At 37.9% G+C, this 24850-nt stretch overlaps 1 protein-coding gene and 1 non-coding gene across 3 annotated transcripts in view; both read left to right on the forward strand.

Moving 5' to 3' along the window:
* The first annotated feature begins 8691 nt into the window (after positions 1-8691).
* MIR302E (microRNA 302e) lies at positions 8692-8763 on the forward strand. Its single transcript, NR_031683.1, has one exon. It is a non-coding gene; the product is annotated as a microRNA 302e (primary transcript).
* A 3940-nt stretch (positions 8764-12703) lies between these two features.
* The window catches only part of SYT9 (synaptotagmin 9), a 230266-nt gene continuing 218119 nt past the window's right edge, over positions 12704-24850 (forward strand). The window contains exon 1 of one of the 2 annotated variants that reach the window (XM_011519902.3): positions 12704-12842. In XM_011519902.3, coding sequence (XP_011518204.1) covers positions 12794-12842 — 49 coding nt within the window. In that variant the 5' untranslated portion in view covers positions 12704-12793. The remainder of the gene's footprint in view (positions 12843-24850) is intronic. The other variant, XM_047426379.1, reaches the window with a different exon arrangement.

A 24850-nucleotide genomic window follows, 5' to 3' on the forward strand; every position in this document is an offset into this window, starting at 1 on the left:
CCTGTAGCTATTTTTTAAATGTTTATTCTTAGTGACTTATGGGAGTTCTTTACATACTCTGTGTGTGAATCCTTTGGCAAGGTTGTGGTTGTAGCATTTAGACTTTGACTCAATCTGCCTATGTTTATTTTTATTTTAAAAAATTATTTTTAATTGACATAATAATTGTACATATTTATAGGAGAGAGTATGATATTTTGATACATATATACAATGTGTAATGATCAAATCGGTATAATTAGCATATCCATTACCTCAAACATTTATCATTTCTTTGTGTTGGAAATATTCAAAATTCTCTCTTCTAGGTATTTGAAAATATACAATAAATTATTGTTTATTATGGTCATCCTGAAGTGCTATAGAACACTAGAAATTATTCTGGTTTATTAGTAAATAGCATGTTTCTAACCTTTTCCTATAAAAAGGATTTAGATAAGTGCGTGGTAACTTCTTTGTTTGAGACGGAGTCTCGCTCTGTCGCCCAGGCTGGAGTTCAGTGGCGCGATCTCGGCTCACTGCAAGCTCCGCCTCCCGGGTTCACGCCATTCTCCTGCCTCAGCCTCCTGAGTAGCTGGGACTACAGGCGCCCGCCACCACGCCCGGCTAATTTTTTCTATTTTTTAGTAGAGATGGGGTTTCACCGTGTTAGCCAGGATGGTCTCGATCTCCTGACCTCGTGATCCGCCCACTTCGGCCTCCCAAAGTGCTGGGATGGCAGGCGTGAGTCACCGTGTCCGGCCGGTAACTTCTTAGAATGTAGGGAGAGTAGAGGGAAATACAATGAGAAAAACATAAAGAACTCACATTCTTCCCAACTCTTTCACAGAAGCAGAAACAAGACAACCATCATTAGGTCAACAAATTACCCTGGTATACACTTTATGGTGTTCTTGCAGGGTTCCTTAACTTTTCACATGCTCCTTCTTGTCCGTTCTCATTTTGCGTGCCATTCAAACTTCTACACATCTTTGCAAATTTAGCACAAAAAACATATTTTAAAAGAATTTATTAAGTAAACTCTCCTTTGCCTCCTAAAGCTTCTGAAACATGGTCCTTAGCTCACAGTATTGTAATATTCTCTGCATCTCTGCTCAACCCTCTAAGGGCATTGAGGGTAAAGACTATGCCTCATTCATCTCAATATTCCCAGTGGCTAGGATCATTAGAAGGGATTCTCACTACATGTTGAATGACTGGCTGACAGAAGCTGTTTCGACTGCAGGAAAAATAATGTTTTAAAATTCTTGCCCAGAGAATCAGTAATTAAAAGGGCAATGGGGAAGGTTAATTTTGGAATCATTTGGTAAACATATCTTTCATAAATTGTAAAGTTTCATTTGGGAAATCTAGTACACATATATAATATGTATATAGCACCTGTGCACTAATGCATCACACGCAGACACACACTATATTGTAGAAATAACAACAAAATCTTGGAGTGGGGGGAAGTAGCTTACTATAGCTCTTCCTAGAATCCATCTTAGAGCTTATTTAAAAGAAACAATTCCGGAGCCTGCAGTAAGCCGAGATCGCGCCACTGCACTCCAGCCTGGGCGACAGCGAGACTCCGTCTAAAAAAAAAAAAAAGAAAAAGAAAAAAAGAAACAATTCATTCTTTTCCAGGCCTCAGCACAGATTTCTGCTAACTTGAGCTCCTGGGCTGCTAACACATCAGAGAGAAAGGAAGGTGTCATTTAGTAATGTGGCTGCTACTGATGACACAATCATCTTTCATGAAAAAAGTTAGCTCCAGGGGAGGGCTGCCTATTATAGCAAAAAGATGGGAAGTTAAGAGAATTGGTTGCTAGGTTTTCTTTGTGGGGAAGCAAGCTAAATTTTTTTGCTGAGTATGACAAAAATGCAAGCTATTTATTCTGATTGAGATAATATTAGAAAAGAAGAGGTTGAAAACCAGAAATACAAATCTTGAGAGGTACAAGGACTGTAAAGTCACAAGGGAAAGGCACCTGATTGTTTTGCTGACCCTTTATATACTGGGGACCTAACACAACGCCTGGTACTGGTAGATGCTTGTTATATTTGTTGGATGACTACATAAACAAATATCTCCTGTATTCTACTAGTATCCCCTTAGCTTTCTTCAACAATTCTGTAATTATTATAAAAATACAATATTATTTTCAATTTATTATTTTCAAATTATTTCAATAGTATTTTCAAAATTGCAAAAAAGAGAATAAATGAAAAGCCATCCATAATTCATTCATTAAGATAAAATTAGGTTTTAAGTATTTTCCTCTAGTTATTTTTCTGTATACACATGCATTGGTATTTGTAGGTGTGTGTGCATAGATACACAGAAATATGATTATGTAACATAAATAATTTTTCATTTACATTTTGAATATTTTTGAGGTTATTAAATAATTTATTTGAGAATATGATTTATAATTGTGGTAAAAATACAATATTATTTATCTGCATTTAATCTATCAACATTTAACTTTATTATTATTAATCTATCAACATTTAACTATTCTTCCCTATTGTTAGACAATGAAACTTTTCAAATAGCTGCTATTTTATTTGATTTTTTAATTCTAGAGACAAAGTCTTGCTCTGTCGCCCAGGCTGGAGTGCAGTGGCACGTCTGTAGCTCACTGCAGACTTGAATGCCTGGCATCAAGTGATCCTCCTGCCTCAGCCTCCTGAGTAGCTGGGACTACAGGCGCAAGCCACAATAGCTGCTATTTTAAGAACATAAGAATTATTTAAGTCAAAGGATATTAATATATAACTACTTCCTTTGGCATATATTTCCAAAATTATTTTCCAGACAAGATTGTATCTAGTACTAGTATAATCCTCACTGAGTATTATAGCTTTTCTTTTTTTTATATTTAAATTCAGGAAACATTTTAATTGTTATTCTAACCCACATGTTTCATGACTAAAAAGGTCAAACTTTTTTTTCTGTATTTTTTGGAAAAGCTTCTTATGCTTCCTCTTTGGTGAATTATCCATCCATGTCCTTTATTCACTATTTTCTACTGAGATAGTACTGTGTCTCTTTATAATTTGAAAGCAATTTTTAAAAATATTTAAAGAAGATTAGCCCTTTGTCTACAAATAATTCCCCAGTTTGTCAAATATTTAGAATTTATTTTCATAATAACTCTTGAGAAACAGGTTTTAGATTTTTAAGAAGTTAAAGCTACTGGTTTTGTTTTGTTTATTATTTTTGCTTTGTGATTTCTTCCATATATTCATCCTTAGAAACAATTTCTCCTTCCTGGAGCCTAAAAAATGCCCATTTATAGTTTATTCTAGTTTCATTACTAGAATAGTGTACTTTGATTTAGTTTGATTTTGTCTTAATTTTAAGCATAGCACTGAGTCATTTTGATTTCTCTTTGTTTTTCCCCAAGTACATAATCAATTGTTCCAGCATTATTTATTGAATACTCTTCTTTTTACATACTGATTTATGATGGAAATTTAACTGTATATTAAATTCTTGCATGTATGAAAGTCAGTTTCTAAATGTTTATATTGATCAATTCTTGCCCAAGATACATACCATCTTGATAGCTGAAAGTTTATTGTATGTTTTGCTATCTTGTAAGACAAATCTCTCTTTACTGCCCTTTCCAACTTACTTTATATTATCTTTTTGAAACTTTTTCACTATTCAAAACTATATATTTTTTAAAATGAGCTATGTTTTCACTTTGTCAAGTAAGAATAATCTTAATAAAATCTTTGAGTCACATTAAACCTTTAAATTATTTCAGAGGAATTAAATAATTTCTTTTATAATATTTAGCATTCCCATTCATAAACATGGTATATCTCTACATTTATGATGCTATTATATCTCCCCATATGTTTTCTAATTATTTTCATATAGATGACACACAGTTCTCTAAGTTGTTTTTCACAGAGTTATTTATAAATTTGCCTAATTATTTATGATGGCATTAATAAAATAATTTCACCATCATAATTTTGACTGAATTATTGATTTCACCAACAACTATTAATATTTTATATTTGTTCTTGCATCTGAACATTTTCCTATCTTCTTTTATTAGCTCTAATAATTTTTTAAAAAAATATCTTGGGACTTCTAGATCAGTAAATTAATGATTTGTAAAATATTTTTCTGCTTACTTTAATAGCTTTAGCTCTTTTATTGCATTGCACATTTACAAGGTAATGTTGAATAATGAAGACATTAAGGATAATTTTTTTGTCTCTGAATTTTAAGTGAAGTTTTTCTGATATTTCAATTTTCAGAATGTTGCCTCTACATTTTGATATTCATCCTAATGTTAAGGAAATTTCCTTTCTTGCTTATTTTTTCAGACTTTTCCCAGGAATGGATATTAAATTTTATGAGATGATTTTAGAGCATCTGCCGGATGATTATGTTGTTTTTTTCTTTGACCTATTACTGATGGACAATATTAATAAATGTGCTACTAATAAGTGAATATTATATTCCAAGAATAAAATCTGCACAATATAGTCTAAACATTATCTTGTAATATACTACTGTATGATTTTCATTGGTTTAGTAAAGACTTTTATATCTATCTCTAAAATGTCATTCTGGGAATTATAACTTGGACATCAAGTTCCTTACACTCTGGTTGCCCTTTATTGGTTATCCTTCTTTTTTCTTTTTAATGGGCCAATCAAGCACACTATGTAACTAAGATGAAAGCTCTTTAAGAGCACAGGTCTTTGTTTTATTTGCTGATTTATTTACTAAGATCCTAGAAGTATGCCTGATACATTATTCGTATTCAATAAATACTTTTTGATTGGTTAATGAATTCTCTCTTATATTGATATTTATGTTCTTTAATAATTTTATACTCTGAATTATATATTTTTTATTCTTTGTGTCTTTATCTGGTTAGCTGAAATAAGACATAGGAGTGCATATACAAAAATTTTCTTCCATCTGAATATGAGGGTGGTATACCGGCTGAACCATTGAATATCTGAGAATTTATTTCCGTTGCCATCAGGTGTGGAAAAACAGCTGAAGACAAAATTCTTCCCATAAGCTTTTCCCATCAAAACTGTGATATATTGTTCCATTATTTTCTAGTACTTGGCATTGCTGAAGAGTATTTTGAAGCTGGCCTTTGTTTCTTTGTTCATGATCTTTCTTTTTCTTTAATGCCAGGATGCTTTATTCTTAAATTTTGACGACAATGACAAAAAATAATACATTTTATTGTTTAAAATATACAGATATGTGTACTATATAAAGCAGAAATCTGTCTCACTACATAGTTCTTCTATGACCCCGCCTATAGGGCTTCTTCTAAATAAACTCACTTCTCAGATGGAATTACTCTAACAGTTGGTTGTGTCTCGCTTCTAAGTTTGTTTCCTTATATTTCTATAAATAGTGGAGTTTCTTCTTTCTAAATAAGATCATACTCTTATAACTGAGTGCCTGAAAAAAGAGAGCCTTAAAAATGTTTAGAAAGAGAAGCTTCCAAATGTGCCTTTGTCTAGATGGACAAAGAAATTCACATTGAAGCACATTCTCTTAACCAACACTTGAATGGTCCTACTTGATTATGTAAATATTAGGTGAGTAGGCACCCATCACTCTGAAGAAAAGGCATGGCAGGGACTGTGTGTCTTTGCCAAGGTTGCCTTTTCTCATTGTCCCTAAGTATGTAGGCATATCTGGTCTTTGAGTAGAAAGTGGAAAAGGTTTACACTGAAGCCATGCTCAGAAAACAGACGGATGGTCCCAGGCAGTGAGAAATTTCTAATTGTGGGGAAGGACAAGTACATTTCAAGGAATAGTGATATCTTCTATTAAATTTGAGGGTGTTTCCTTTATTGACTATAATTACTTCCTATCATCTCCAAGCCTTCGGGGGAAATCTGTTAACTAAAATGACCTAGTGTTATTTGTGAAAGTCCCACAAAGGAAGAGGAAAAGAGTCCACAGCAAGAGGTAACATAGAACCAGAAGCAAAGAAAACCTATCAGGAGCAGGTTACAGGGGTGAAGCAGGATTCAGGAGAAACTCATAGGAACGTAAGCCCTCCCTGGAAATCTAAAGTACTACACCAGTGGTAGAGGTAGGTGTGCTCCACACAGTGTGCGGTGTGGCTGCTTGAACCATCTTATTTGCATATTATGCAAAGGATAAGACTTGAAAGAGGGGGAGTTTGGGGAGTACTAGATTATAAATGCTTGAATATCAATAATCCCCACAGTTGGGATGACTGTTCTAACTGGATGTGGTGGGCAGCCTCTAAGATGGCACCCAAAGAGCCCCACTTCCAGATATCCATGCCTTCGTGTAAACACTTCCCCTTGGTTATGGGCTAGATTTAATGATTCAATTTTAGCAAATAGAATACAGCAGAGGTGATGGGATGTCACTTCCAAGATTAGATTACAAAAATACTATGGATGCCATCTCTCTTGACATCTGGGGCATTCTCTTACTTGCTCGGACATAGGAAAGCCAGGTGCCATGTTGCGAGCTTCCCAGTGTAGAGGCCCACTTGACTTGGAACTGGAAAAGGTCTCCAATGGCCTGCTAGAGAAGGTCTCCATCCAATAGCCTGCTAGAGAAGCTCTCCAGCCAATGGCCCAATTCAACAGCCTGTGAGGAATGGAAACATCCAAGCAATCACATAAATGAGCTTGGAAGGGAAATTCTCCCCTAGACAAGCCTTCAGATGAGACCACAGCCCTGGCTTATAGCTCATCTACAACTTCCTAAGAAACTTTGAACCAAAAGTACCCAGCTAAGCCACACTTGGATTCCTGATCTACAGACACTGTGAGAAAATAAATATTTGTTATTTTAAGTTGATAAGTTTTGGGATAATTTCTTATGCAACAGTAGATAATTGATTCAATGGGAAAAATAATCAAGTATATGTTGCAGATAATTGACAACTTTGGGCAAAGACTATGTTTGGGATTCTAAATGGAATAAAACATTTAATAGAGTCAGAGTGTAAGAAATACAATGATATATGTTCAAGGATGCATCACAGTATAAAGCAACATGCCACAGGATACTATAGCAAAACATTCATTTTCATGATTTCACTTATTTCTTAAGGTACATATGCAATATGTCTTAGAAGAGACAACACAGAAGCTCAGCAGAGCCTCACTAGAAAACTCTGACTTGCCTTCCCTCACTTCCCAATGACCTAACATGAAAACGCAAAAAGTTACATAGGAATATTGGTTAAAAAGTCTGGTAGATTTCTTTTTTTTTTTTTTTTTTTTTTAACTCATTTTTATCAAAATTTGTGCAGTTGTAAAAATTTTTTTTTTTTTATTATACTCTAAGTTTTAGGGTACATGTGCACATTGTGCAGGTTAGTTACATATGTATACATGTGCCATGCTGGTGCGCTGCACCCACTAACGTGTCATCTAACATTAGGTATATCTCCCAATGCTATCCCTCCCCCGACCCCACCACAGTCCCCAGAGTGTGATATTCCCCTTCCTGTGTCCATGTGATCTCATTGTTCAATTCCCACCTATGCGTGAGAATATGCGGTGTTTGGTTTTTTGTTCTTGCGATAGTTTACTGAGAGTGATGGTTTCCAATTTCATCCATGTCCCTACAAAGGACATGAACTCATCATTTTTTATGGCTGCATAGTATTCCATGGTGTATATGTGCCACATTTTCTTAATCCAGTCTATCATTGTTGGACATTTGGGTTGGTTCCAAGTCTTTGCTATTGTGAATAGTGCCGCAATAAACATACGTGTGCATGTGTCTTTATAGCAGCATGATTTATAGTCCTTTGGGTATATACCCAGTAATGGGATGGCTGGGTCAAATGGTATTTCTAGTTCTAGATCCCTGAGGAATCGCCACACTGACTTCCACAATGGTTGAACTAGTTTACAGTCCCACCAACAGTGTAAAAGTGTTCCTATTTCTCCACATCCTCTCCAGCACCTGTTGTTTCCTGACTTTTTAATGATTGCCATTCTAACTGGTGTGAGATGATATCTCATAGTGGTTTTGATTTGCATTTCTCTGATGGCCAGTGATGATGAGCATTTCTTCATGTGTTTTTTGGCTGCATAAATGTCTTCTTTGTCACCACCAGGCCTGCCCTAAAAGAGCTCCTGAAGGTAGATTTCAAGTAAAATCACTAACAAAGGATGCTACGCGGTCCAGGGCTTTCACCTACCAGAGGATACAGAGGAGTCACTCTCCCCTCCAACCACACAAAACAGACTACAGAGGTCTTTTTATGTATGCTTTTAAGGAATTCCATTCCTGGGATTCAACATAGCTGAGGCATATATGGACAGATGGTGGAGCATTGTATCCAGAGATATCAAGATGAGAGGATAAAAGAAGAGAAATCGTTGAAGTTTCCTTGCTCTTATTAGTACATTTAAAAAAATCATAGTCCATGGGCTGTTACAACAAGTTCTCAATGTTTTCCATTTTTATATTTGCCTTGTTATAATCCTTAAAATTAATTAATCTTAAAATACATAATTGCCAAAGTTTTGTTCTATTTAAAACTGTGATTTTATTTAATATTGACATTACAAGTCCATTTCTGGAATCTGCCTGCCACAGAGGTTTGGTCCATCAGATAGTGTGGTTTCACAGTTAATAGAGTCTCTAGGCAGACTGCCTGGGTTTGAAACCTGGCTCTCCTAATTATTGGCTGTTTCACCTTGGGTAAGTGCTTCCATGCTTCAGTTTCCTTACTGGTAAGATGGATGTAGTAATAGCACCTACCTTATAGAATTATTTTGAGGAATCAATGAGTTATTATTTGTAAAGTGCTTAGAACAGCAACAGCTCCACAAATGGTCTCCTTCCCACTAATTCTGTAATAAAACAGCAAGTGCTGGGGGAAGGTGGGGGTGATGGGGGGCAAGAAAAGGAACCTGAAGCTTCTCCAGTGCATAGAAGTTTCTTTTGCCTCAGGAGTCATCCTGACCCAGAAACGGTGTTAGTGGTGTAACATTGGGCTACTTTGTGTTCGCTGGAAATCCCAGACTAATATTAATATTCATGGGATAGTCTCTGGAAGCCTAGACTTGGACCCACTTATACCTTAGTGCTTAAATTGTACAGACACTCAGACAGGTATGAATTAAACTTGGGTGGGGGGCAGCTTATTCGGCCATCAATTTTTATTTTATAGTTCTATGTGTGTGTGTGTTTTGAAAAACAAATGGTTCATTTTCTTGCTCCTGTGGGAGCAAAGCAAGTCATAAACTTAAAGCAAGTGTCTGCAAAAAACTTTCCAGGCACCAGTCTTTCTGACAGACAGAACATCATCTATTCAGTAGAAAAAGTCAAACTTGCTTGCTATCTTTTAATACTCAAAAACAAAAACAAAAACAAAACCCAACAACACTGAGACTGGTAGCTTTTCCATGGTTATCTCCATCTAAACCTTCATGAATAGATTCCTTCCTCCAGGAATAAGGAATGAAGACCTAGGACTGACAAGCAAGAAACATGAGCTCCATCCATGTTTGTTCTCTGGCGTAAACTCTGTAACTTGGAGGAAGGCTTTTGGTTTCTGAGGTTGGGCTGGGAATTCTGCAGGGCATAGACAACTTGCTCTCAATGGAGAAAACACACAAGCACACACTCAGAGAGACTCAGACAACTTGCATGCATACACACACAAAATTCTCACATGTAGACACACCTTCAAGATACACATTTACATTAATGTTCACAGGTCTAAGGTGTTAAGACTCAGGGAGGATCATGGAGGGGTGAGGGGCTTAGATCAGTTCAGAAGAGGAAACTTTTCAGATAGATTTCTGTCAAAGTAAAATTGAGGTGCAGAGCCCTCTTCGAGCCCTTCATCAAGATTCACAAAAATAAGGCATTAGGCTAGAAATAGCTCTCTGCAGGCATTTATATATACCTTTAAACTCCATTGTTTGAAGCCTATCAATTTGGAGTGCTGAATTCTACTAGATTCTAAGATATTAGAGTAAGATAGAAAGATGAATTTTAGTCAACCAATCAATGTGCACTCAATGGATGCCTACTACAGTCACAGGCAGTGCCCTCTGGGCCCTGGGATAGAGAGATGATTGAGATATTATCCCTACCCGATGATAGTCTAGTAGGGAAGATGAGACTAATACATATGAAACCAGCTAATCTAACTTCAACGTTAGACTATTAGAGCCCAAAAAGTGTCCTGCCTTGTCAAACATGCTATTTTGCCATTGAAATACTGCTATCCAGACATAGTAAGTAAATTTCTTATGGCCACATGATCAAATAATAGACCAGTTCTTCTAGAGAGAATTACTCTCTCCATCCCTTTGCATTGTTTTATAATTTTATAAAAAACTTTTACATGGCTCTGTGCTTTAACTAGGCATCTGCCTGTCTGTCCTTCCTTCAGGGATGTGATGCCCCACAGGTAAGAACCTGACCTTATACATTTAAGGAGCGCACAGTGACTGATAAGGCCATATTTAGCCAGGAGGTGCTCAACTCATCAGCCTTAAGTGATCGGAAAGGATCAAAGACAACAGTCCAGGGAATTCCTCTTGGCCAAGGTCGCCATTCATTACACCAGATAGCACAGGTAGTAAAGACCTAAATCTTGGATACAAATTCGAGGTAAGATATTTTAAACTTGGCGTAAAATTATAGACCTGTTTCTAAGCCCTTCTGTCTTCTTCTCCATTTTAAACTCAGTTGCTTTATAATTTTACATAAAAGGGTAATGCATTTTCATTTCAGCCAGCAGGAAAAGGTTAGGCTCCTCAGGTGCTTTTGAATCTTCATGTTTGCAGACAAAATCATTGAAAGGTTTTGATATATTTCTCCTAAGGGTTTTTCTTGAAATTACACCAGGTCACTCAATCATCAGACAAGCATTTTTAAAAACAAAACAAAACAAAACTGCTCTTTGTCAAATACTGGGCAAGTTGTTGTCTACAAACTTGCTTGGCTGAATTACTGAGCAACTACTTTATGCCCAGAGAAAAGAAAAGAGCAGCATGGTTCTTACATGTTTGCTAAGCTCTTGACCCATGCTCTCATGAGTACCCTATCCCATCTGGATCTGAGTGTTGCCCTTCACTATCCACCTTCTTTCATTTAACAGTTATTCACTGGACACCTCCTATGTGTCAGGCACTGTCTTAGATGCTGGATTCTTGGTGATGAACATGGCAGACAAGGTCCCTAGCCTCAGGGAGTGAACATACTAGTTGTCAGAGGGAATGGGGGATGGGAGTAAGCAAAAACAAAAACAAAAACAAATAAACAAAAAAAACCAATAAGCAAACAGATACTCAGAACCCTGAACTGTTTCTGACATATAGCAGGTGTTCAATAAATATTTGTGATTTAATGGAATGAGCAAGATAGTTTCTGATAGTGATAAGGGATATGAAGGATATTGATGTGAAATAGAGCATTTAGACAGGGTCAACATGGAAGGCTCTGTGAAAAGGTGATGTATAGGCCAATATGCAAAGGAAAGGAAGGAGCCTGCAGAAAAGGTGTCCCTAAAGTTGAGGAAGAAGCAAGTGAAACATCAGGGAGTTAGTAACAAACTGATTGCATTTGAGGACAGAGAGAGAACAATGTGACTGAGACAAACTGAGCAAGAGGGAGAGTAGCACAAACTGATGTCAGAAAGGTAGAGGGAGCTCAGCTATGCTGGCACTATGGATCAAACAAAGGAGTTTGGGCTTAATTTCCAGTGTTATTGGAAGCATTTGGGGTTGAAGCAGTAAGTCAATGTGATTAAACTCATGAATTGAAAGATCGCCATGGCTGCTCTGAGGGGAAAGAATTGGTAGGAGGCAATATTGGAAGAAGGAAGTGCGTCAGTTAGGATGTTTTAGCACATCAACAGGTTATAGGTGTGAAAGATATTGTTCCCCTCTGCCCTTGGTGTAACCAGGAGAGAATGAGTTTGGCCAAAGCTGTGGGGCGGTTCTGGCCATAGGAGGATTCATCCTTTAACCAGAGAATGCTGAAAAATTAGCACCATCTTCCGTGTCTGTCACAATGTAAAAAATATTGGAAAGCCCTGCTTCAATACATATTTTTCATGCTTTCTGGCCATCGGGCTTCTTTAATACACTCTTTCTATGTTTGGAGAAATTTCCCACTTGAAAACCAGCCTCCAAGATAACTGCTAGTGATCCCCACGTCCTAGCATTTGCTCCCTTGAGTGGTTCCCTCCCACACAGCACCAGGGTTAGTGTGTGTAACCAATAGAACACAGCAGAAGTGATGGCATATCACTTCTAAGATTAGGTTATAAAAGACAGTGGCTTATGTCTTGAGCTTCCTCTCTTGCTTTTTTCTTTTTTTCTCTCTCTCATCACTCACTCTGGAATAGTCAGCTATTTCTTAAGAATACCCCAGTATCCTTGTGGAGAGGGCTGCATGATGAGAAACTGAGACTTCCAGCCAGTAGCCAAGCAGTAGGCATTATTGAAAGCAGCCCCAGTCAAGACTTCAGATGATGCAGCTCTGGCCAGCAAGTTGACTAGAATCTCATGGCAGACCCTGAACCAGAACCACCCACCTAAACTGCTTCTGGATTTCTGACACTTAGATATTGTGAAATGATAAATGTGTGCTGTTTTAAGTTGTTCATTGTGGGGGTAATTTGTTACATAATAATAGATGATGAGTGCATCCCCTTTGTGAACCCTGCTACCACACTCAGCCTCTCTTGCAGTCCTGAGCTTTGTCAACATGATCCTCCTGCCTGAGACTTCAATTTGGGAAAGAATGATATGAAGAAGCCAGTAATGCAGAGAACAAATGCTGGCGAAGGTGGTGGAGGGAGATTTAGCTTTCAAAGGAGGCAGAGGTAAAGTTGCTAGTGGGGAATCTTGTGCCCATCTCTGTCCCTGTGGATGGCTGTGCCTGCACCCAGAAGTGGTGGGAGTGGTAGAGTCAGCATTGGAGCTGTCTGCTGACAGAACATGGATATTGTTTCTGGCTACCTGACACCCAAGCCTGATTTACTCCAGGATATTCTTTCATACATTTTGTTTAAACTATCTAGTGAGCTCTCTTATTGGCAACTAGGAACCCAGACTGACATAAAAACCTTTGAAGGCAAGTAACAGAAAACACTGCCTCAAAGTAGCTTAAATAATATGGAATGAAGTAGCTCCCCTAACAGGAAGTGCAGAAGAAGGGGACTGCAGGGGTGAACCGCCAAGATTCTGGCTCCACTGTTCTAGAGCACTCAAGCCTGGGTCTTTCCCTGGGTGTTTCATCATCCTTTCTGGCTGGTGGCAGTTTGACTACAGCAGTCTTTTTGTAACAGTGAGGCACCTTATTCAGTAGCCCTCTATAGACTTTCCTTCATGTCTCATTAGCCCTAATTATGTCAGATGCTCCATCCCAAACCTAACACTGGAAAGAAGAATGGTTTTACCACAACTGCCTTGGACTAATTAGTTTTGACCTCCAGGATCCGGGAAAAAAGTCATACTCCCTCAAAGCACCTGGAAGAAGGTGGCTACATTAAAAAATATAGGGCTTTTCTGTAGACTAATAGATACTGAGTAAGCAACCAATACAGTCTGCTTTAGACAGTTATTACAGGGTCCAGGCAGAGGGTGATGGTGGTTCGTATTAGGGTAATGGAGTAGGGGCGGAGAGAAGGACACACCTAAAAGCAACAAGATTTGCTGGTGGATTGGATTAGGAGGGAGAAGGGAAAAAACAAGACAGAAGGAATGATGCATTAGTTTAGACCTGAGCAATTAAATCAATAATTTACTTAGATAAGAAATGTTGGGTAGAAACAGGTTGAGATGAAGGTGAAGTTACACATTTGAATAGTTGCACATAGACAGATTAATACATGAATTTGAAGCTAAGAGGGAGATCATGGCTGATTATATGAACTGGAGAGTCATCAGCATATAGAAGGAATTTAAAACCACGGAACTGAGTGAAATCCTTACGGACAAGGGTAGCAAGGGAGGAATGCAGGTCTGAGAACAAAGCTCTGTGGCATGCCGACAGTTAGAGGTCAGGTAGAAGAGGGGAAGCCAGTGAAAGACAAAGAAAGAGAGTAGTCCGTGAGAAAAGAAGAAAACCAAGGCACATCTCAGAGGTCCAAGTGGTGAGCTGTTGTCCAGCCTCCCGAGTCCCAATTCCTCCCTACCCTCATCTCACCCCATTCCATTCCTGGCTGTCTATATTTGAAGGTAATGACCAGATTCCACATTTTAACTTGCGTCTGTGTTTGAAGTTTCATATAGCAGATTAAGTGAGTTTCACTGTCAATTGAGCCTAACCACCGCTAGATACTGAAGAAAAATAGGGACAGAATTGAAACAAAAACAAAAACAAAAAACTCCAATCCTTTATAAAACCTGTCTACTGTTTTTTTCTTGAATAATATATGCAAGACATTTTCCTCATAAATGTCATAGTAAATGGCTGAAAACCAGCCTCCACAAACAAGCTTTGAATACGTCTTCTAGCATTCCTAAAATTTTAAAACATGAAGTGAATACCGTCTCTTACTATTTGATTCAAGTAGTATCCTTAAAGAAATTCACAAATAACATTATATTGCTTTAAACGAACTACTACTTCAAATAGGACAAATGATATATAATGAGCTTTTTTATATCTTAAAAATTAAGATGTACTTTTGTTTTAATCAATGGAGGTTAAAGTTATAGTTTAAAAGGTATACCTCTTCTAATTAAGATATACCTCTTCTTCTAATTAAACCCTCCAAGTCAGGCAGCCATCTACAGTGCATTAAAGTTCAGATTTTGCATAAAAACTCATTATCTAAACTTGATGGGTTTTCCTTCCTTTCAATACACCACACCCTCAGAAGGGGTCTAAACCAACAAGACCCTTTAAGAAATGCAAAATAAGACCTCACCTTGGCTCACTGCTGTTCACTGACAAACCTGAGGAATTCTAATTCTACTTGGAAAGAAATAGTCTTCTATGGGGAATAAAACATTTTAAAAGAAAAAAACTATATTTTTTGTTATATCCACATGCATCTTGAGACACTGTTTTATATTGCAACAGATAGAGTCCATTACTTCCTCTACTGGCCAAGCCTAGAAAAAGAGTTACTCTATTCCCAACAAGAAGGAAGAGGTGTTATTTAAAACACACACACACACACACACACACACACACGCACACACTCACCCCCCCCACACACAGCACATATCTTAGAGATCTATATGAAAAGGAGTGAAAAATGATAACAGAGAAACTTACTGAGGTACTACCCAGATGGAAGGAGAGAAAAAATATTTGTGTGGTAATAAACAGCAATTATTTTGCAGTTATTGAATAGAAAGAAAATGTATGTTCAGTTATTAGAAAATTTCCATGCAAAATATGAACTTTGGTGAGTTGCAGATAGAGAAATTGAAGTCTCTGTGTTGAAGGAAGGTAACTCTAATGCACATGGATATGAGAAGCTGAAGTGCAGAAGAGAAGTAGCTAAGGACCAGGAAAAAGCCAGTTGGAAGGATTCAGACCACAGTGGAATTGCCGATTGATTAATTAGGATCATGGATTGATTGATTAGTCAAGTGGGACTGGATTAGAAGAATAACAACAGCACAGAGTGTTTTGCTTATAGTCTGTAGTAAATCACCTGGGCTTTAATCAATTCTTTAGTAAGCTGTGTATAATTCATTTCGATGTGTGGATTTGGTTTTCCTGCATTTGTCCAGGGGGATCGTAAGAGTCTGAAAGACTGTATATCAAATTTGAAAAATCCTGCCAGATAATTCTAATAGGAGACTGATGAGGAGACATATTGTATGGTGGTTACATTTCAGTCTCTGGAGTCTCCCAAACATGGGTTCCCATTTCTATTCCATTGGCTACTAGCTATGTGACTTTGGGCAGGTGAATTAGACTTCAGAGTTTCAATGTTTCCTTCTATAAAGTCCAGATGCTAATTACAATAACTATTTCAAATGCTTATGGAAATGATTAAATTAAAAACACATAAAGCACAGCACACAGTATGTGATGCAGAGCAACTGCTTAATAAATGTCTGCTGTAAATGGATGCATAGGCCAGTCTGGAAAGACCACATGGGGCTCTAATGTGCGTTGGTCAGACCCTGCCCATCCTCAGAAGTAGAAAACAAAATGAAGGCATAGATCTGACTGCAGAGTTGGTGAAGGCATAAGGCCAGTGCTGCCCTTATTGGCTATTTGGGACTATTCAGCTTCATGATGTGAGCTCTGTGCTTTTCCCTGGACCCATCTGGGGTGGTTAAGAGCAGGGCTCAGGAGTCATACTGCCCATCTCTCCAGCTGATCAGCTGTGTGAATTTGGGCAGGATACCTAGTTTCTGTGCTTACATTTCTTCAGTAGAAAAGTGGTGATAATTAAGAACACCACCCTCTGCATAGGGTTGTTATAGAGATTATATGAGCTAATATATTTAGGGCATTTTTGTTGTGTCTGGCACATAGCATGAGTTCAAAAAACAGTAAAAATAATTTTAATATAACACTGATAATTTTAACTTTGAAATAGACCTCTAGGATTCTAAATTCCACTTTGTTTCCCAATAAGAGCTTTGCAGAATGAATTTATGGAGAGAATGAGAAAGAATAAAGTTAGGAGTAGGTAGATTAGAGGTGGGAAAAAAAGGTCAAGAAAATTTGTAATGGAGATAATTGAAAGTATAACCAGGCTGGGTGAGGTGGCTTACACCTGTAATCCCAGCACTTTGGAGGCTAAGGCGTGAGAATCACCTGAGGTCAGGAGTTCAAGAGCACCCTGACCAACATGGTGAAACCCTGTCTCTGCTAATAATACAAAAATTAGCTAGGCATGATGGTGGGTGCCTGTAATCCCAGCTCCTCGGCAGGCTGAGGCGGGAGAATTGCTTGAACCCGGGAGGCGGAGGTTGCAGTGAGCTGAGATTGTACCATTGCACTCCAACCTGGGTGATGAGAGTGAAATTCTGTCTCAATAAATAAATAAATAAATAAATATAAAGTATTACCAATATGAACAGGATAACATTTCTGAAAGAACATTTCTGAAAAGTAGAGAACATAAAATATATATAGAGAAAAAATATTTGTGTGACAAGACAGCAATAATTTTGCAGTTACAATTAATGAATGAATGATATAAGCAGAGAAGGAAAGCTTAAATATGGAAATTAAGAACCAACATGAAAGTTGTATCAAATATCTTTGCATTTATTGTTCACTAAATAAACTTTTAATTAATTGATTGGTTTTTGATTAATGTGATTAAGCACTAAACTCGGCAGATAACCTGAAGCCTGGTTCTTTGCACAGAGTAGGGCTGAGACAAACGTATGGTTTTTCTATGGTCTCTGAATAAGGCCAGAGGCAATATAGTGGATCTCTCCCTCTTTCTCCCCCTTCTGCCTCCTCCTCCCCTTCTTACTTCCTTCCTCTCTTTCTGTGTACACAGAGATTTTTGTCAAAGCTTTGTTACTAAGTAAAGGATCAAGAAAGGGATTACTAAAACTCTTCTTTAAGTGCTCACTACCCATATTCTCACCCATAAAAGTGCACATTTACTTCCTTTTTTCCTAAGCAGGCAGCTGAGTGTCAGTCGACCTGCTCCAGATTCATTTTCATCACTGGGGATGGGGGAGGTTTGCTGTGGGCAATGAGGAAAGGGGTTGGTTCATTGGAATTCTTTTTTCTGGCATCTTTTTGGCTAGTTGGATAGTCTACAACCACTTGTGACACTCTCTAACCAATTTTGGATTTCATCATCCTCTTCTCTCTTTGGAGCATCCAGAGTGACTGCAGCAGTTGCCCAGACCTGCCCAGGATGAGAGTCGTCAGCCACTTTGAAAGACAGCTCTAGGGATGCAGAAAGCATTTTTTTTTTTTTAAATTCATCTGTTGGTGGAGGGTACTGAGGTCCAGGTTTTTCTCAGTCTCAGTTAAGCAGAAATCTGACCTCTGCTCTCCCTTCTGGCCTTGTTCTGAAACGATGAACAAATGTAAAACCACGAGAATCTACTAAGAGACGGCAGAGGAGTGCCAGGCCCTCCGACCTGGAACATGGCCCTCTGTTCCTTTCAGTATATTTCGTATATGGTGTATCTTTTTAAATTCTAAAGCCAACAAATCTCTATTTTCTTTAAAGTGAAAGAAATGGACTTACAACTTTATAATTGTCCATCATAAAACTGGAAAGAAATCCACACAGTCCAGGAGAGAGGAATACAGATTTTGAACATACCAGAACAACTGCTACTGGAATAATGGTGCAACGATAACACACACATGGGCAAAATAGAGCTGCTCAATTCCAAATTTGCTTTTATTTCATCTCTCAAGAAAATTCACTCGAAACAGGAAAGAATAAAGCTCACAGATTAAAGGCTATTGATGCCCAAGATGACAGTGATAGTCACAGAACATGAACTCTAAGTCAGTGCTAGTCTCTTGGTCCAGATAAATTATGTATACTTCAGGGTCTAAAGCAAATGTTAGAATGAATACCTTTTTTGGATAATTAGGAAGTTTTTGAGCATTTGATGGGAGTGCTAATCACTAGGAGGTAGCATGGGTTCACTGAGAACCAGTCATGCTAATCAAATCTTATTTTCTTTTGTTAAAGGCAACTATCTGGCAAGTAACTGAATAAAACAAAATGACAATTAATAGAAAGTTTTGCTGTTAAGAATCCCACACCATTTCCCAAAGTACGGAATCTAGCTCACAGGAACAGGGGTAAGGATGTGGTCTAAGAGCAGCATGAAAGATTTATGGGATTTCATCCATGGCATGTTGAGATGCTGTAACCCAAGCAGCAACTCAGAAGCCTGAGGCACAGAGAGAGCAGGAAGTTGATGCTAAAGGGTGAAGGAGTGCTGGGCTCAGCTCAGGAACTCTATTTCAGAAAGGATTTTGACCAATTGCAGCACACGTAGAAGACAGATAAGATGATGAGAGAACCTGAGCAATGTCACACAAAAAGTGGATAAAGATACCGGATATTTGTGTTCTGGACGTGACTTGGAGCAGCAGTGTGGCATGGAAAACACAGGCTCTGGAGCCAGACAAATTTGAATTTGAATGCTGGCTGTCTCCAATAAGCTGGAGAAGTTCCATGGAGAAGTTACTAAACTTCTCTGTTCTTGTTTCCTCATCTGTAAATGTAAAATGGAAACATAATGTGTGCCTTGCTGGGTGGCCAGGATTAAATGCAACAACATATATCAAGTGCATGATGGTATATAACAAATGCTTAATAATGATTAGTTATAATCATTAATGTATATCATTCAGGGACATTGTAGGTGACTTCAAAGATCTTTTTCCAAAGGCCTTTTTCTTTTCTTTTCTCTCTTTTTTTTTTGTTTTTGTTTTTGTTTTTTGAGTCAGGGTTCTATTCCGTCACCCACCAAAGGCTTTTTTCGTCAGCATATAAACTGGAGGTTCTCAAATTTCATTGTTCAGAAGCATTACCCAGTGTCTTATTCTGTTTGTACTGCTGTAACAGGATACCTGAGATTAGGTAATTTAAAAAGAAAAAACATTTATTGTCTTATAATTCTGGAGTCTGGGAAGTCTAAGATCAAGGCACTGGCATCTGGCAAGGGCCTTCTTACTGTATCATCACATCGTAGATGGTGGAAGGGCAAAGAGACAAAAGGGGGCCAAACTCACCCTTTTATAACAGCATAATTCTACCCATGCAAGTGGAGCCCTCATGGCCTAATCATCTCATCAACATTCTACCTTTTAATACTGTTAAAATGGCAATTAAATTTCAACATGTATTTTTGTCCAACCATAGCATCTGGGATGCTCTTTACGAAATAATTGTGTAGGTCTGAGTGAATCCGAGGAACCAGCATTTTCATAAGAAATCCAGGCAATTTCAGAAAAGAAGGCAAGTGAACCTTACTTTGGGAAACATTGATAAAAACATTCTGAAGTCGCTCCTATCTTCAAACAGCTTTTCTTCTATGCACTTTTTTTTTTCAGTTACCATCTTCTCTTTGTCCTTCTCTCAAAAGATTTACTTTTACTTCTACTTGGTAGGTCTAAACAGCAAAACTTCCTAACCAGGGCACCAGGGAAGCTTGATGTGCCACAGAATGGGTAATACCTGGGCTGAGACTTTGATTCCTTCTGCCACAGTCCCTGCTGGCCACCAGTGGCCTAGTCCCTTACCCCCATGTGCTGTAAAAAGTTCACTTTCTATCTATGCCACGACAAGTACAAGACTGAGAAGCACTGCCTTAGAGAGCAAGGATCATTGTTTATTTCTCTATATATTACCCAGGACCTGGAAGGCTTCCTGAGTCACAGGGGACTTCCTCTGTCATGCTTTCTGAATCATAGAAGAATACATATTTGTTCAATGAATGAAAGAACAAATAGTTGGGGAAAGGTAACATATTTCAGCTAACTCTACTTCTTCAATTTCCATGTACTTTTTAATCCTGTGTTCAGCTGGTTCCACCCTCACCACTCTACTATAATTGCAGAAGAACAGAGGCTTTGGAGCCACAAAGATGTGGATTCCAGTCCTGTTTCTATCATTTACCAGTTTTTTGCCTATTTCAGATGTCTACTGCTGCATTAAAAGGTTGCTCCCAAACTCTATGACTTAAAACAACCACCATTTTATTGCTCATGATTTTGTGGGTGAGAAATTTGGTAAATGGGGATGGTTCACCTCTGCTTCACTTATTGTCTGCTGTGCTCATTTGTGGGCTGGAAGGTCCAAGTTCGAGAGGTCCATGGCCTCACTCACATGTGTGAGGTCTTGGGCTGGCTGTTGACTGAGGCATCTATTTTAGTCTTCCAGGGCTACTGTAACAAAATAGCATATACTGGGTGGCTTAAACAATAGAAATTTATTTTCTCACAGTCAGAAGTCTGGGAAGTCCAAGCTCAAGGTTGCAGCCAATTCCATTTCTAGTGAGGGCTTTCTTCCTGGCTTGCAGAGAGCTGCCTTCTCACTGTGTCCTCACATGGCAGAGAGAAAGCAAACTCTTTGATGACTCTTTTTAAAAATTATTTTTTATTTCTATAGGTTATTGGGGAACAGGTGGTGTTTGGTTACATGATTAAATTCTTTAGAGATGATTTGTGAGATATTGGTGCATCCATCACCCAAGCACTATACGCTGCACCCTATTTGAAGTCTTTTATCTCCTGCCCCCTTCCCACCCTTTCCCCTGAGTCCCCAAAGTCCATTGTGTCATTCTTATGTCTTTGCATCCTCACAGCTTAGCTCTGCTTGTGAGTGAGAACATAAGATGTTTGGTTTTCCATTCCTGAGTTACTCCACTTAGAATAATAGCCTCCAGTCTCATCCAGGTCACTATGAATGCCGTTAATTCATTCCTTTTTATGGCTGAGTAGTATTCCATCATATATATATACATATATATATACACACACATATATATACACATATATACATATATACACACATATATACATATATATACACGTATACATGTATATACACATATATACACATATACATATATATGTGTATATATACGTATATATACATATATACGTGTATATATACGTGTATATATACGTGATATATATATATACATATGTATATATACGTATATATGTGTGTATATATATATATATATCACAGTTTCTTTATCCACTCATTGATTGATGGACATTTGGGTCGGTTCTGTGTTTTTGCAATTGTGAATTGTGCTGCTATATACATACATGTGCAAGTATCTTTTTCGTATAATGACCTCTTTTGCTCTGGGTAGATACCCAGTAGTGGGACAGCTGCATCAAATGGTAGTTCTACTTTTAGTTCTTTAAGGCATCTCCACACTGTTTTCCATAGTGGTTGTACCAGTTTACATTCCCATCAGCAATGTAGAATTGTTCCTTGTTCACTGCATCCACACCAACATCTACTGTTTTTTGATTTTTTGATTATGGTCATTCTTGCAGGAGTAAGGTGGTATCGCATTGTGCTTTTGATTTCAATTTCCCTGTTCATTAGTATGTTGACCATTTTTTCATGTTTGTTGGCCATTTGTATATCTTCTTTTGAGAATTGTCTATCCATGTCCTTATCCCACTTTTTGATGGGATTGTTTGTTTTTTTCGTGTTGATTTGTTTGAGTTCGTTGTAGATTCTGGATATTAGTCCTTTGTCAGATGTATAGATTGTGAAGATTTTTCTCCCACTCTGTGAGTTGTCTGTTTACTCTGCTGTTTTTTTTTTCCTGTGCAAAAGCTCTTTAGTTTAATTAAGTCCCAGAAATGTATCTATCTTTGTTTTTATTGCATTTGTTTTTGGGTTCTTGGTCACGAAATCCTTGCCTAAGCCAATGTCTAGAAGAGTTTTTACAATGTTATCTTCCAGAATTTTTATAGTTTCAGCTCTTAGATTTAAGTCCTTAATCCATCTTGAGTTGATTTTTGTATAAGGTGAGAGATGAGGATCCAGTTTCATTCTCCTACATGTGGCTAGCCAATTATTGCAGCACCATTTGTTGAAAAGGGTGTCCTTTCCAAATAAAATACTTAGGAATATACCTAAACAAGGAGGTGAAAGACCTCTACAAGGAAGACTGCAAAACACTGCTGAAAGAGATCAGAGATGACACAAACAAATGGAAACATGTCCCATGCTCACAGATGGATAGAATTAATATTGTGAAAATGACTATACTGCCAAAAGCAATCTACAAATTCAACACAATTCCCATCAAAATACCACCATCATTCTTCATAAAATTACAAAAAACAATTCTAAAATTCATATGGAACCAAAAAAGAGCCCACATAGCCAAAGCAAGACTAAGCAAAAAGAGCAAATCTGGAGGCATCACATTACCTGATTTCAAACTATACTATAAGACCATAGTCACCAAAACAGCATGGTAGTTGTATAAAAATAGGTATACAGACCAATGGAACAGAATAGAGAACCCAGAAATAAACCCAAATACTTACAGCCAGCTGGTTTGATGATTCTTATAAGGAAACTAATCCTATTGGATCAGGGCTCTACCTTTATGACCTCATTTACTCTTAATTAAGTCCTATCTCCAAATACAGTGACATCGGGAATTAGGGCTTCAACATAAGAATTTACAGTTCACTCTATAGCAGTATCTCACTTCCCTTCTGTATGATATTCTTTCTCCACATTGTTTCTCATTCTTCTGGACCCCTCTCCAGCAAGATATCCTGTAAAAGTTGCAAGATCTTTTCAAGTCTAGACTCAGCTCAGAATTTCACTTCTACACATTCTGTTGAATAAAGTGAGTCACAAGGCAGGCCCAAATTCAAGCAGAGGGGAACAGACTTGACTTCTTGATGGGAAGAGTGGTAAAATCACACTCCAAAAGGACACATGGAATTGGAGGGATAGCTATGGCTGTCTTTGGAAACAGTCTACCAATTTGTCCTTGAACAAATTGTTTAACCACCTGATTTTACTTTCTTTGCCTGTAAAATAGGAAATATAGCATCAACCACTTTGGGATGTTGTAAGTAATAGATTAAGAAAGTGTGTTTAGCACCTCGTACATTGTAGTAGAAACATAACAGAAACAGCAAAAACACATATTGGTTGAGCCCATACTATGTGGCAGCACTATTACAAGCACTTAAATATATTGCTTTATGTAATCTTTGTAACAGCCCAAAGATACACGTTATCTTTGAGATAAGATGAGAAACCCTAGGCACAAAAATGTTAACTTGCACAAGGTTGGTTGCATAGTAACTAGTCTGTCTAAATCTTGAATGTCTTACTGTCTACTTTATCCAAAGGACACTTTTTAGTTTTTTCTCTTTAAACTATATTTGAAAGTTTACAGTTGATGTTGCTCGCTCCTCTACCAAACACTCCTCCTCCCGTGATCCCTATGACTCCCCTCTGTACAATCTTTCCTCCTGTTCTCATTGCTACCTTCCAATCTCCTCTTTCATTTCTTCAACTCTTCTTTCTTGAAGGAACCATCCCATGTGGCAACTCAGTTTCTACCTTTCCAATGATGATTGCCAGTCTTCACTCTCTCCTAAACTCTAGGCTTGCATTTCTAAGTGTTATTAGGGTGTGAGCACATATGACCCAGGTAACGTTTTGAAACGTTTGTGCCTTTCACTTCTTTCTTATTCCATTGGTTGCAATCTTGTCACTTAATACTTGAAATGTTTTTCAAATTTGGATGTTTCTAGCAATCAGCTAATGCCTTTGGCCTGGTTTAGGCCTTCATCATCTCTTGCCTGGTTTATCAAAGTCATTTTTTAACTGAACTTGTTGCTTTCAGTTCCTCTCTGACATGATGGCATTAGGGTAATATTTCCATGTGCTTCAACACACATACCTTCTCACCATTACTATATGTCCCCCCCGCCACCCCCCCCCAGCATCACACTATCTCTGGTGTCACCTTCTCTGTTCATGGCCTTTTTCTTCTTCTCTAGGGGTTCCCCCCTTTGAAGAAACAGCATCTGCTCAACCTCCCCTACAGGCTCCCTTAAAGCTGGTTTCTCCTCCCTCTGTTTGTCTCTTTGCAACTCTCTGGAGGCATCTTTACCTTTACAACTTTGCATTTTCTCTGCTATTCCCATGTAAGTTCCCTGAAACCCTAGTACCATTCACAGCAGGATTTCAAAGGTTGCCTGTTGCGTGAGCATTCTATAGGATCCCAAATTATCTTTCTGTGCAAATATGAATTGTTGTGATATGTCCGTAGAGACGGCACAACCTCATGGCTAAGAATGATAGTTACCAGTTCTAGAGATCCTACTCTAATTGCTCTAGAGTGGGGGCCTGAACACCAGTATTACAAAAAAGACAAAAGAAAAAGAAGGAAAAAAGAAAAAAGA

The sequence above is a fragment of the Homo sapiens genome, chromosome 11, assembly GCF_000001405.40.
Source record: "Homo sapiens chromosome 11, GRCh38.p14 Primary Assembly".
Lineage (NCBI taxonomy): Eukaryota > Metazoa > Chordata > Mammalia > Primates > Hominidae > Homo > Homo sapiens.